The sequence below is a fragment of the Homo sapiens genome, chromosome 5 (genome assembly GCF_000001405.40).
Source record: "Homo sapiens chromosome 5, GRCh38.p14 Primary Assembly".
Lineage (NCBI taxonomy): Eukaryota > Metazoa > Chordata > Mammalia > Primates > Hominidae > Homo > Homo sapiens.
Genome location: NC_000005.10, coordinates 166,311,361 through 166,325,600, shown reverse-complemented (window position 1 = coordinate 166,325,600; position 14,240 = coordinate 166,311,361). Strand labels below are relative to the sequence as shown.

The 14,240-nt window shown below is 38.3% G+C and overlaps 3 annotated features.

Moving 5' to 3' along the window:
• Window positions 232-1,009: an enhancer, noted in NCBI's record as "OCT4-NANOG-H3K27ac-H3K4me1 hESC enhancer chr5:165751597-165752374 (GRCh37/hg19 assembly coordinates)". NCBI's record gives its function as "activates a minimal SCP1, AML or CMV promoter by ChIP-STARR-seq in naive H9 embryonic stem cells {active_cell/tissue: H9 hESC(naive)}" and the evidence as "EXISTENCE:reporter gene assay evidence [ECO:0000049][PMID:30033119]".
• Window positions 1,010-1,787: an enhancer, noted in NCBI's record as "OCT4-NANOG-H3K27ac-H3K4me1 hESC enhancer chr5:165750819-165751596 (GRCh37/hg19 assembly coordinates)". NCBI's record gives its function as "activates a minimal SCP1, AML or CMV promoter by ChIP-STARR-seq in naive H9 embryonic stem cells {active_cell/tissue: H9 hESC(naive)}" and the evidence as "EXISTENCE:reporter gene assay evidence [ECO:0000049][PMID:30033119]".
• Window positions 13,559-13,735: a silencer, noted in NCBI's record as "fragment chr5:165738871-165739047 (GRCh37/hg19 assembly coordinates)". NCBI's record gives its function as "represses an EF-1alpha promoter that drives an FKBP-Casp9 reporter gene in an ReSE screen in K562 erythroleukemia cells {active_cell/tissue: K562}" and the evidence as "EXISTENCE:reporter gene assay evidence [ECO:0000049][PMID:32094911]".

The window sequence follows — 14,240 nt, the reverse complement described above, 5'->3', positions numbered from 1 at the left end:
GGTGGGGTTAGAATAGTGGGTTAAAGGATGAGAGAGGTTACGACCAGCAGTGGGCATCTCTCTAGCCCATGAGGCACCCAATTTTGACCACATATCTAGAAAAATGGTTCTTAAAGCATGCTCCCAGGACAAGCAGCATCTGCATTAGCTTTTGCTTGTTAGAAACACAAATCCTTGAACCCCTCTCCAGACCTAATGAAGCAGAAACTCCAGGGTTCGGATCCTAAAGCCTTTTTATTTTTAGAACCCTCTAGGTGATTTTGATGCATGCTAAATCTTGAGCGTCACCACTGCATTGGCAATTAAACATAATCAAAGTTGTGATTCCTAAGAGGAGCAGGAGAATCATTCTTAATTTGATGGGGTTTGGAGATAATAGGGATTAAGTACTTCCAGTGATCAAACTGGTACACAGGTTTCTAAAAAGCTGAGAGATAACTCCTTTTTGTCGCTCTATGCATTTGATATCTACAGATAAAAACAACACAATAACTCCACCTTTACTTTTTTGAACAAATACACTCTTTCTAAAAGCGCAGGAACATACGCGCATTGAGACTTTCTGAAGTTTAAGTTCTAACTTACGTCTTCTAAATTAGCAAACCTGGACTACAGATCAAAGCAGCTAAAAGTGTAAATTCCACCCAATTAACGAGACTAGTGTCTGAAATACTTCATACGGATGACCAACTTCACTCGCTTTTTAAGTTATTTGGGATAACCTTGGTGGAGTTTTCTCCTCCGCATCCTGAGAGAGAGCACCGAAGGTAAAAAACAAAAACAAAAACAAAACAAATAGGGAGCGGCTAGTCTGAACAGAGTGAAAAACCATCTCGAGAGCCCTTAGAAGCCTATTGAAAACATTTTCTTCAAAGGAGTTCCTGCAACAATTATTACAGCTCATTTGCCTGCAAATGTGCTCTCTGTTGTTAATCAGTCAGTCATTAACCTCAGCAATATCAATGTGTTGTCACCATGCATTTCAAAGAGGTGAATGAAGATGGGCGGTCTGTAAGAGCGGCCTCAGCTCAAAGAGCCCATTACGCTATTTATTCTTCCAAGGTAAACTCACACTCACAACAAAGATTTTTATCTCAGGCACTCGGCATTCTTTCCTAGGCTTTTCCTAAGGCCCTTTATTTAGGTCCGTGCCCATCCTTTACTCTGATTGCCAAGGAAATGGTCTCAGAGACCAAATAACACATTGGGAAAAATGGGAGGATTAGGACAGAGATGAAATTCAGTCGAAGGTCTACAGTTTAGGGGCATGAAAGAGCAATTGCTCTTGCCTTCTTCCCCAGCAGAAAACCCAGGCCTTAGAGAAAGAAGCCAAGAGAGGCCAATGGGAGCCATTAATTATCCAGAGAATAAACTCTAATGTCCCTAGCCTGTAGTTTTTCTCCCAACAGTGGTCATTTAGAAATCCCTGTGAGTGCCAGCCCTGTAGTGTGTCCTTGCATCCATCTTTCCTAGACCTTCGTATCCTCTACACGCTGTTTGGTCTTCCTGTGCCTGTCTTCCTCTACAATCTCATGCAATGGTCGAAGACTTTTCAGAGACGATGGATGAATTGCATCCACTTTGTATCGTTGTTGCTCAGAAAGCTGTGAACACCCTAAAATAGAATCCCAAATTTTATATCATTGTGAATTTTTCTAAGGAGAGATCCATAGCTTTCATGGGATTCATGATCAAAACGAAGAATCACCAGAAAAACTAACCCAAATTCTATTTTAATGAGTATGTATCAACTGTAAATGGTATTTCCTTTTATATCTAGCATATTCCATCATGGAATGACTGTTTTTATAGGTCAAACATAGCGAACCAAGCACCAGAAATTTCAATTGGTCCCACCTAATAACAAACATTTAATATAAATATATAAATAAAAGTGTATTAAATAAGCTTTTTATAAATGAAAATCACATTTTAATATAACTTATACAAACAATGTATTTAATCATGTAATACTTCAATATATCTGAGTAAATTTATGCTAAATGCATCTGTTTATGGCTATGCTTTACATAGACAGCAGCAATTATTAGAGCTTTCTAATATGTATACCAGACACATAGGCACTTACAAGGTCATAAAAGCACTTTGGAGGCCTTTTGTACACAGCTATTGGTCTCCGGGATGACTGGGTGAGATTGTTTTTCTTTTCCAGAATCTTTTTTTTAAAGGGAATACCGTACCTTATATATAAAGGCATCAAAGTAATGTATCTCCAAATAATGAACAGGTCTCTTCCTCCTAAGACTGTGGCTGGATTAGCTTCTAAATGTGTAAGATCTTGTTTCCATACAGATCTCCCTGATAAAAATTAGAACCCCACGGATGGGCCTGAGAAGACACTGGGCGCATACAGATCTCTTAATAAAGTCCTTATTCTACCAGGACAGACTGCCCCACTCCCTCCACCCCAGCTTGCATACTCTATTCTTCTGTTATGGCAGTTTACATACATAAAGCTATCAATTTAGTTAATTAGGCTTTACAACTGCTATTTAAATAAGGAGAAATTCTTTTTCTCCGATAAAGCCACGCAAATAAATTATTGCTGTTGTCACAGATTGCCTAGCTGCTACTTTGCTAGAAAGCTTCAAAGTGTAACTTTGATGTGAAAAGAGTCTTAGGGAATATGCATATGAGAAACGATTTTGAAGAGAAGCTTTAACACAAAGTCTTAGGAAAATAGAAAAATAGAGTGAGCCAGAGCCCCACCTTTATTTGGTGGCAATTTAAGGAATTCAAAGAAGTAAGAATATACATTCTTTTTTTGTTGTTCTCAAAATTTCAGATCCTCATTGTTCCCAAACATCAAAGTATAGAAAATGTTTTGAGCATTTGTGGATACTGAAAAGTCCAAATAAAGGTCTGGCACAGTGGCTCATGCCTGTAATCCTAGCACTTTGGAAGGCTGAGGTGGGAGGGCCACTTGAAGCCAGGAGTCCCAGACCAGCCTGGGCAACATAGCGAGACCCCCATCTCTACAAACAATTTTTTAAAAAATAGCCAAGTGTGGTGGTGTGCACCTGCAGTCTTACCTACTCAGAAGGCTGAGGCAAGAGGATTGCCTGAGCCCAGGAGCAAAAGGCTGCAGTGATCTATGGGCGCACCACTGCACTCCAGCCTGGGCAACAGAGTGAGATACTGTCTCTATAAAAAAAAGAACATAATTTCTTTAAATAAAAGTGCAAATAAAGGAAAGAAGCTGAAACAATCATTGTGGAAGATAATGTAATCTTTAAGGAGTTCAAACTGGACTTGTGTTGTTTGCCTCTGTTGCTAATGAACCAACCAGATATGAGAATATTATTTTCTGGTCATGATTTCAAAAGAGGAAAACATTCCTCTTTGATGGATCAAACCCACTGGTTCTTGAATCCCAACATCGAACACAGGAAGCCGTGCTATACAACCCAGTTCTGGGAAGCTCCTAGGGGAAAGAAGAGACTTGAAAGCGCTAGGATTAAAGTCTGTCTCAGCCTCATTCCCAGGCATGTGGAGCAAAAGTCCATTTGGAGATCTAATTTTTTTCGAACTCAACATCATAAAGCTAATATAGGAACTTAAATAAACAGTGAATGAATTGGTCTCCCTAAGACTTGATTTTACTTTTTTATTCTATTCCTTTTAAAGACAATGGATAATTAAAAAAAGAAAAAAAATTGACTATCAACTCATTTCTTTTTTTTTCTTTTACTCCCGGCAAGCTGTGAAATTAACTCATTTCTTTTCGCAGAAAGCCACTCCAACCAAGGTATTATCAGAGGAATATATTTTTCTTTCCTGTAACTGCATCCTTTAGTCCTGATGAAGACTTACAATTTGTCATCAAGAGGCAGCCTTAGATTTCTACTGTAAAGCAATATCTGATAAACCCCTTCCATGGCCAACAGGAAAGCAGAAGTAATCTTTGAAAAATAAATAAATAAGTAAATTCTAAAAAACCTCAGGATGACTTGATAAGGTTAAGGCACTCTTAAATGAGAAAGCCTTTCCTGGGAACTGAAACTAAGACACCACACAGTTCCCATCAAATTAAAATGCTAATAGAGGGGGTAGCAGGCTGCTGTATCTTAGATCAAGTTTTAGTTTTCTTTGGTTTTACTTTCTGTCAGGGTTATTCTATCATAATGTATCACGAAAAGCATTGCACTCACATCAAATCAAATTGTTAATGGAAAGGGTGGCAGCCTAAAGCACTCTTGATCAACTGCTAATTTTGTTTTATTCTTCTTCCTCTTACAGCTATTCTCTGAAATGAATAACTCTGCATTTGAAAGAGGTTTTTGAGAGAAGCTGGGCACTAAAACAGATTAAGATGAACCGAAGACACAGAAAACCATTATGTTCACAGAATAAACAGTTTTAGTCATTTAATGTTGTAAAAAATGTATTCGTCTGTGACGTGCTGCTTTCACCACTAAAAGGTCTCCTGTTAAATATGCGCATGTCTCCACATTGGGCCACTGATACCCACAGGACAAACCTAGAGGGACAGGCTCACCGTCCATCTTGAATTTGTTATTCTGATGAGCAGACAACTGCTATGAACATCCCTATATACAAAATGGAGAGGAAGCAAATTTAGTATTGCTGAGAAGTGTCAGATTTAATGCATTAAGGATCAAAGTAATCAATTTATCTGGAAGATCAGGGAAAGAGCAAGAGAGGAAGAATCTGCCCCATTGCTGGCCCTGCCTTCGATGGCCAGAGCTCTGTGTAACAAAGGTTTGTCAGCTTTTTGCCATACTCAATCCTTGGGGATCTCTGCCAAGACTGAGAAATCGGAGCCCTTGCTGCCCTATTGAAAAATGAGAGGGTGCATATCCAGCAGGGATGTGATAGAGACGACCAATTGGTATCCAAGCGTTCATTTACTCTTTCAAATGGAAAACTCTCCTTCCAAACACAGTGTAGAGGAAAACAAGACCAACCGCTTCCCACCAGCCACCGCCCTCCACCCAAAAAAAAGCTTTTTGATAAGCTGCTGACAGTGTAGATTTGGCTGGTGTTTTACTTACTTTAGAGACTTGCTTTGTAGATCTTACGACATTTGCTACATGACAGCGTGATGTGTTAAGCATTTACCTTCCAAAAGAAGTTCAGGAAAATAAGGCAAAGAAAAGGAAAGAAACTGGAAACTATTGTTAATGCTCCCCTTCCTAACGAAGAAAGCTTAATAGGCCTACCAAGACGCTAGCAGCAATTTAAAAAAATCACCAGATTCCAAGATTCCTCTTGGGTTTCACAGAGAAACGTAAGGGTTCACTGATGTTCCAAAAATAAAATTTGAAAGTAATTCTAGATCTCCCTCCATAATAGGTGCCTTGAAAATTATCTTCTAATGCCTCTATTTCTCTCTCTAATTAATAATCTGGCCTTAATTATTACAAACCATTCTTCCTTTGAGAACTTGTTACTGAGTAGTGATTTCATTCTGCTGCGGGGCAGATGTTGCTTTTACATTTTTACGGTTTCCAAAATAATCACAGGATTTTCAGTCTCTTGTCTGAAACAAATAAGTTTGTTTCCCATTTTCCAATCATATTAATGAGAAAATCCACCTGTTTCAATATAGTGATTGGGTCTGATAAGTCAAAATAAACAGTCAAACAAATAAAACCAAACAACAACAACCACCAAAAAAAAGATTTAAATATACTTTAAGTTTTTTTTTTTCCTTTCCAAACAAGTGGAATGGATGGAAACTGAGAATGGTAAAGTACTGTATTACCAGAGTAAATGTTTGATACCTGAAGACGGAATAATAACTGGAATACATTATTCACAATTTGGATATGGACATATAACATATGCATGGGGCAAAATAGAATTTTAAAGTGTGGACTTTGTGATGGGAAAACTAATGATCTATTAAGTTCTCAAGTGTGGGAATCCACAATTACAATGATAGGTAATGCTGCTGCTAAGTGCTGTGTGGTTCTGGGCAGAAAGATTTCTTGGGGGGAGCGAAATTGGTACCATTTCAGGAAGAGATGCAGACCTCTGTCAATATTCAAGTCCATTCACCCCAGCCGGCTCTGATCTTGCCTCCTCCCTGCAATCTGGCTCCTGGTGAGTTTGTTCTCCAGAATCTCATTGCAGCTTCAGTCTCCTTCCTTAATGAAATGCTTGTCAGCTGCTGCACAGGAGATGTCCCCCCAGAATCTTGATTAACCTTTGCAGTCAATGAGCCTCTATGATTTTTCCCCCCAGAGAGACCAGGTTCATGGTGAATGAGCTTATCTCTGGAGTTTTCTTTCTGATCTGGTATACCCATCTATCCATACATTATGTGTATCTATTTATCTAAGTTTTCCAATGAAGGACAGAAATGTCTGCCTGATTTTAAGTGTCCATGTGTAAAATAACTCTAAACCACTTCTATCCAAAGCTGCTGCTATTTTTTTTCTTTTGGATGGTAGAGAAAGCTGCTTTTAAAATATAGGTTTTGATCAATTTTATATTATCCCTTTTTCAGGTCTCTAATGTCTATTTCAAGGGATGTTTTAACACTGTAAGTTTTACAGCAGCTCATAACTGATAATGAAGACTTTCCCAGTACTACTTCTCCTTTGACACCTGAATTCCAAACTGAGATTTAAATATATAGTAATTATGAATGATATCACAGACGAATATTAGATTAGAGCACAGAGCATATAAGACATCACAAATTCCTTTGTTAATGCTAAATTCCCAGCCAAGGGAAGCTCAAAAGGCATCAGTGGATACTAGAAATAGAGGTTCTTTTTTTTATGCTCAGTGGATTTTTCATAGACTTTCTTTAGCGGAAAACCTAAAGAGAATATGTCAGTATCAAATGAAATTGCTACTTTGTGTCCTATGGATTTAGATTATCAGGCACAGTGGCTTTGGAAAATCTGAATATTTCTAAAGAAGGATATTCACTAGAAAATAACTTTTGATAGGTAAATAATACCAAACTTTAATCATTCTAGTGCTTCAATTTAAAAACAAGTTCAGGGACAACTCTATTCTGCTCACCAAGGAAAAACAGTAATTTTAAATACGAAGCATACAGGAAACCCTTCATCTATAATCTTAGATTGGCTAGGCTGTTCATGAGATGCATAGTTGACTACCATTTCTTTAAAGGATGGCAGGAGATCTTGCCTGCTATAATTCAAATGAAGCATTTAATATGCATCTGCTTTGTCCAAAACATTGATCTAGGCATGGCGAGATTTCAGAGAGCCTTTGCCCTTTGGAAACAGAATATTTTCATACAAAACAACAATAACAACAACCAAAATCCCAGCTAATTTGGAAGCAGACTGCAGATACAATGAGAAAGTCTCTTCAAATATAAGAGCTAGGTTCTCACTTTAACAAGGCAAGGTAAAGTGAACATTACTGATTGTCAAAATTATCCTTGAAACTTCTTTAAATCTGGAGGACCAGGGCTCTGGGCAAAAAGCTAAGAATTCACTCCAGCACTTTGATTTCCCTTTGCCCTGAGGCTTTCCCGGCCCTGAGTAGGGTAGAGGTGTGAGTCTACTTTGAAATGGGAAGGAGAGGAAAGATGAGATGAAGAGTTGGAAAGGAGGGGAGAGGGGGAGACATAGGATGGAGAAGGGAGGGGCCACAGAGATGCACCAATCTTCTTTTTCCAAGAAAGTGCCATTTGAACTCTCGCAAGTGAGGGCATGGTGTCTCTCTGCTCTGTCTCTGGTGGTTCTGATTCTTGCTGAGGATGGAACTTAGTTACAGCTGCAGAAATCACCTGCGGTAATGTGAACCGTTTAGGTGCCGGGACATTTGCATTCACGAAGAAAACCCCCCCTGAGGATGTAGTTTCTGCTACTGGTGGATGGTTCTTAGTCTGAGGGAGAAACTCCAGGGCCATAGTGTCCGCTTCTGGAGGTTAGGGGTATTAATTGGCTCTTCCCTTTGGCTCTTTGTTTCATACCCAGCCCTGACTCCTTTCCTCACCCCTCCAACATGGTTGATTTATTACCAAATAAAGCTACTCTTTGCATGCGTTGGCCAACCATATTTCATCGTCTCTACCATTCAACAGACCATACAATTTCTGAAGATATCATTAACCCAGGCTTTGATGCACAGAACACGCAGAGAAAGTGAAATAGCAAATGTACTTGTAAGACCTCTATTCCCCTACACAGTAATGGCTTAACACTTTGGCATTAATTCCATTTGTCAAGCTGTAAGATAAATACATGTGCATCAGACACTTTCCCAGCATTTATTCAAAGGGCAGACAGTGAAGACCACTATTTAAATGGGAAATCTGTCCATTTGTTTTTGAAAATAAAGCAGAGCTTCACATTTCACAAACTATGTCAATCCTTTTAAAGAGACAATGCAATTTTCAGAACAAAACTGCCGATGAGGCTTCATCTCTATAAAAATAACAATACTACTACTAAAAATTCTGAAATTCTAAAGCAAGGTGAATATAACATTTTTTTTCTTGTAATTGAAAGTTAAAAGTCAAAAAACCTAACGCCCTTGACAGTAATGTTTGCATTTATAATTTCTGTATATTTCTATTAGGAACATCTTCTATCATTTCTAACCTTGGGCAAACCGCAGTAAGTCTTGCATCCAGTGAAGCTTTTTATGTGCAATGATATTCACATATGGATAGATTATCACATCTTGAAAGAGATTTCCAGATTTCTCCTTATGTCTCTTGCCTATATTGGTCTCTTCTTATACTGCAATGCCAGGTTGACTCTCTTCTTTAAAATGGTTATCTTTTTTTTTTTTTTTTTTTTTTTTTTTGGCCTCTCAGCTTTCCAAGTGGACTGAAGCATTAAGTTCTAATGTATGGCCTCATTCAAGTACAGTCATCCACCACATAACCACATTTTGGTCAACCAGGGACCACATATACAGTGATGGTGCCATAATACTATAACACTGTATGTTTACTTTTTCTATGTTTAAGATATGTTTAGATGCACAAATACTTTCTATTATGTTACAATTGCCAGCAGTATTCAGTACAGTGTTATGATGTACAGGTTTGCAGCCTAGGAGCACGGGGCTGTACTATATAGACTATGTGTGTAGTAGGCTGTACCATCTAGGTTTGTGTGAGTACATGTTATAATGCTTGCATAACAATAAAATCGCCTACCAATGCATTTCTCAGAATGTATCCCATCCCTTATGTGACACATGACTATATTTTCCTTCAAACTATATAGTTTTAAAAGAATCACCAAGAATGGCTGGGCGCGGTGGCACATGCCTGTAATCTCAGCACTTTGGGAGGCCGAGGTGGGCAGATCACCTGAGGTCAGGAGTTTGAGACCAGCCTGGCCAACATGGTGAAACCCTATCTGTACTAAAATTACAAAAATTAGCCAAGCGTGGTGGTGGGTGCCTGTACTCCCAGCTACCTGGGAGGCTGAGGCAGGGAGAATTGCTTGAACCTGGGAGCTGGAAGTTACAGTGAGCTGAGATAGCACCACTGCCCTCCAGCCTGGGCAACAGAGCAAAACTCGTCTCAAAAAAAAAAAAAAAATCACCAAGAATGAGTCAAAAAAGTACAGAGATTTTGAAACACTATACCTAAATACAACTTTTCTGTTTATAGAAATATATACGTTTTTTCTAGTAAAGAAGACCTAAACATCATTCATAGTGTCAAAACATTGCTTTTTTGTTCAAGAAAAACATACCTAGTCTAATTCTGCAGTCCCCTTTTCACTTCTCCTCAGGCCAGGAGTTTGAGGCTGTAGTGAGCTGTGATCGTACCTGTGAATGGCCACTGCCCTCCAGCCTGGGCAACATAGCAAGACCCTGTCTGTTAAAAAACAAATGCAGCTACTAAGTCTTGGGTAACTAAGAACAAAAAAGTATGTTTGAAAGATGTTAATAGAAATAAATAAGACAATAAAAGTCACCCTTTCAGACTGCCTTCTGGATTTAGATTTCATGCCCTCTGCAATAATATAAGGCCCATGAGGTCAAGGCCTTTGTTCTGTTCATTTCTATTTTCCCTTAATCTAGAAGTATTCGTGCCATACAGTATATGCTCAATAAATATCTGTTGGATTAAGCTAAAACACATATTGTTGTGCCAGCCAGGCACTGAATTAAGCAACATATCATCTCACTTAACCTTACAAAAATCCGTCAGGAAACTCCTACTAGTATTTCCATTTTATGAATGAGAAACTCAAATCAGGCTTATATAGTTTAAAAAGTATGCTCTGAAGAACTCCCAAACCTTCTCTCCCCTCAACAATTTCATCTTCTATTTGTTGAACTGTATGATCAGGAAAGAAAATTTCCCAATTTGCTATACACAACTTCAAAAGGATTGTTAATTTACTCTTATTATCCCATGTGAAATGTAGAAGCAATTGTGTAAGCAAGAGATACAGGTGCCCTGTTACATGGTTACAAACTAGAAAATAATCTGATGATAAGATTTCTTACTCTGATGCCTGAGGGTCAACCATCAGTCTGCTTTACATTTTCCATTTAAATACTTGAACACAGTCTAGAGATGACACCCTAAGCTATATTGTTACACACCAAAACAACCAAAAAATAAACTGCCAGGACTAAAACAATCTAATATATTTAAAGCATTATGCTGTCAGCTCTAAATCAGAATTTATTTCTAGAGTTGCAATACAAAATCAATATTGGAAAAAACATCTAAACTGAATGTTAGAGGCTTCTGAGTGTACATACTCTACAAGGAATTTTTATTTTAATCTATGCCACATATTTATATCTGATAAAATTCTCAGTTGAAACTCTCAAATTCATGTTTATATATCACATACATAAAATGCAATGGTTAACAGACATAAATTATAGTACTATTATAACAACACAAAGCCAAACAATAAAATACATGAACCAATGAATGTCATCATTTTAAATACAATTATTAATGTTTTGAACCCTGCCTTTGCTTCTGCAGATAGTATAAAATCATGTCTCATGTCACAATAACGTTAATGGTATTATCTTCTCTCCAGCTAAACTCTAAAGCATTGCGATTGTTATGAAATGTATTATTTTGTACCTTAATTTGGAGTCATATGCATGTGTATCTTAAACACCCTACTGAATTGTGACCGGATTATTATGTATTTCTCAGACACCATGCATTGTGCAGAGTAGATGCTCAATAAATATTTTTTGAATTAAAGAAAGAAAACAAACAGGAAATACCTCATGAATATTTAAAATATGCAAAGTGTGCAATGCACATATGTAGTGACAAGAATTACACAAAGGTGGCTGGATGCTAGTCAACTTCATGGATGACTTGAAGCCTTTCACTGATTCCTGTCTGCAAACCACATGAGGTTCAACCAGATGGCCAAAACCCTCCAAGATTTCAATGAAAGTAGCTTGGTGGTATAACCAGGTACCAGTCAAATGAAGCTAAACTATGCACACTGTTTGCTGAAAGTGGGATTCTGGACCACCTGCATCAGAGTAACCTGGGGTGTTTGTAAAAAAAACCAAAAGAACCAAAACGACAACAACAACAAAAAAACAGATCCCCAGGCTCCAGACCTGCTGAATCAGAATCCCTCTTGTGAAACAAAGAAAGTATCCAAAGGGAGTTTTAGGCCCTGTGAGGACTGATGCTCACTATTCCAGCCATCGTCTTCAAGGGAGGTGTTAGGATACCTTTGAGAAAGTAAGAAAAAAAAATTTCTCCTGCCAGGCTCCTCCTTGGTGGAGAGGATTAGAAGAACATGCCTTTTGAGGATAGCATGCTAGAAGGTGTTGAGTTTAGAGACATGAAGGCGTGTGAATTCAGCTCCAATGCCACCATTCTACTTGCTGCTTTTGTGCAGAGCACAAATAGCATAACTCTGGATAGTGGCTTTAGGTACCCTCTAAGGACCAAAATATACAGTTACCATATTCCAAACTGGAGAACACATCTAAAGACTCACTATGTGACCCAAGTTTTCAATCTTAAAGCAGCCTTCCATTTCTCACTAGTATTCTAGGGGAAAAAAAACCAGCAGATTTCAGATACATATGCAAAAGCATTTCTTGATGGAGAGGTTATTAAACACCACAGTAGGCAGGTAATAATGCCTAAATGCCTGGGATGGGGTAAATGATCTCCTCACCAAAAACCATACTGGGGAGTTTGGGACAGGATAATGTCTCAAATTCCCTTGTAGCCACAGGAGTTCACAATTTTATTACCTAAGGATGCAAAAACATTTTGGCACATGCTGGGTTTAGGCAATTCCACTATAGCCTAAATGGCCTTTAAGAAGCAGAGATCTTTTTAAAATCCTACTCTAGGAACATTTAATATTTGAAATTGTTTGAGATGAAAGCATAACACCCAATTGTTACAGCTTCATGAGTGACTCTTACTTGCCTAATTATGGGAAGCAGTGCTGTCAATAGTAAAACATTTTCAAGAGATTAATTTCGCACAATAAGAGCTCCCATGCCAGCCCACAAATCCTTTAAAGTGTTCCACGTATTTTGCAACACTGAGTGGCCAGCAACTCTTTTTAATATTTACAGACAAAATGATATTTGGATAAAGCAAAGGTCAGACCCCAAAAGAACAAAACAAGGCAGAATGACATTCTAAATTTCCAGGTTGTGGCTCTTAACTTGGCAACCAATATATGATGAGACAAAAATAGAAAGAAATTTCACTGTGCTCTCTCTCATTGTTAAGTATTATCCAAACTCAAACAATTTCTAGGGTAACTTGAGAAGCATTGAGAAATCTTTCTAAGAAAGTCAGGCCTCTCTGTAAAACTTTTGCTCTAATAATGTTTGTTTCTTTCAAAGCATGAATATGTCCTTTCTGCTTTGGTTAATTCCACATTTAGTACTAGGTCCCTTTTGCAGTGCATATTGATGACTTGTAATTAGAATTCCTTGTTCTAAGCTCATAAATGCTATTCCCACTAATGATGAGAAACATGACAAAGGAACATGAAAGATCGGTCTGACTCCCCACATAGATGGTGTGATTCCTAGTCCAGAAAATCATCAGAATATCCGGGGATGCACTCTAAAACTGTAGTCGCTAAGTCACACTCTCAGTGATTTTGATTTAGTAGGCATCTATTTCCTTTTATACTACACAAAGAGAATTCCAATCAGCCAGGCTTAAAAATCCTTAATACAGGTGATGACTTACACATTATAAATGCAGGACTTCTGAAGGTCTTCTTTATATGTGACATAACTTTATCAACCTACTCACCAAATATGGTGTTTTATTAACAGAAAATTATAACCTTTCATTCCATAGTTAGAAATGCAAATGCTATTAGAACAAGAGACATTGATTAGCATAATACACGAGGATCATTGACAACATTTTATGAAGGTCTAGTTGAACCAGGCCTGACTAGGCTGTGAAGGAAACAGGTATGCAGAGCGCTTTGTCAGGCTGGCATAGCACAATAGCACAGAGTGATGATTAGACATTACTCAACTCCACAGTCGTGCATCAGGCTTTCACCATTGTTGAGCTACTTGACTTTGAGATTTACTTAACCTCTCTGAGCCTCATCTGTAATTCAGAATAATAGTACTCATCTCTTAATTTTTTTTTTTTTTTTTTTAAAGGCAGAATCTTGCTCTGCCTCCCAGGCTGGAGTGCAGTGGTGCAAACTCAGCTCACTGCAACCTCTACCTCCTGCGTTTAAGTGATTCTCATTCCTCGGCCCCCTGAGTAGCTTGGATTACGGGCATGCACCCTCACACCCAGCTAATTTTTTGTATTTTTAGTAGAGATGGAGTTTCCCTATGTTGGCCAGGCTGGTCTCAAAATCCTGGCCTCAAGTGATCTGCCCACCTTGGCCTCCCAAACTGCTGGAATTACAGGCGTGAGCCACCACACCTGGCATCTCTTAATATTTTAATGAAGAATAACTACATGGAAAGTATAGAAAACAACTATTCCTGATATATGTCAAATGCTCAAATAAAAGTCTACTATCAGTCATATTAATACTACTCTTCACAATTTAGTTGAACAGTTCCTAACCTGGCTAAATGTTAAGATGGCCTATGGAGTTTTTAAGAAATTACTGATACGTTAGTTTGCTATCAAGAAATTCAGTAAGTCTGGGTAGACCTGAGAAGCTGCATTGTAAAAGACCTGCAGGTGGTTCCTATAGACACTTAGGATGATCCACCCAAGCAACATAGTCCTTGGCTTCTCAATCACAGTCCTTAACCAGGACACAAAGGTAACATCC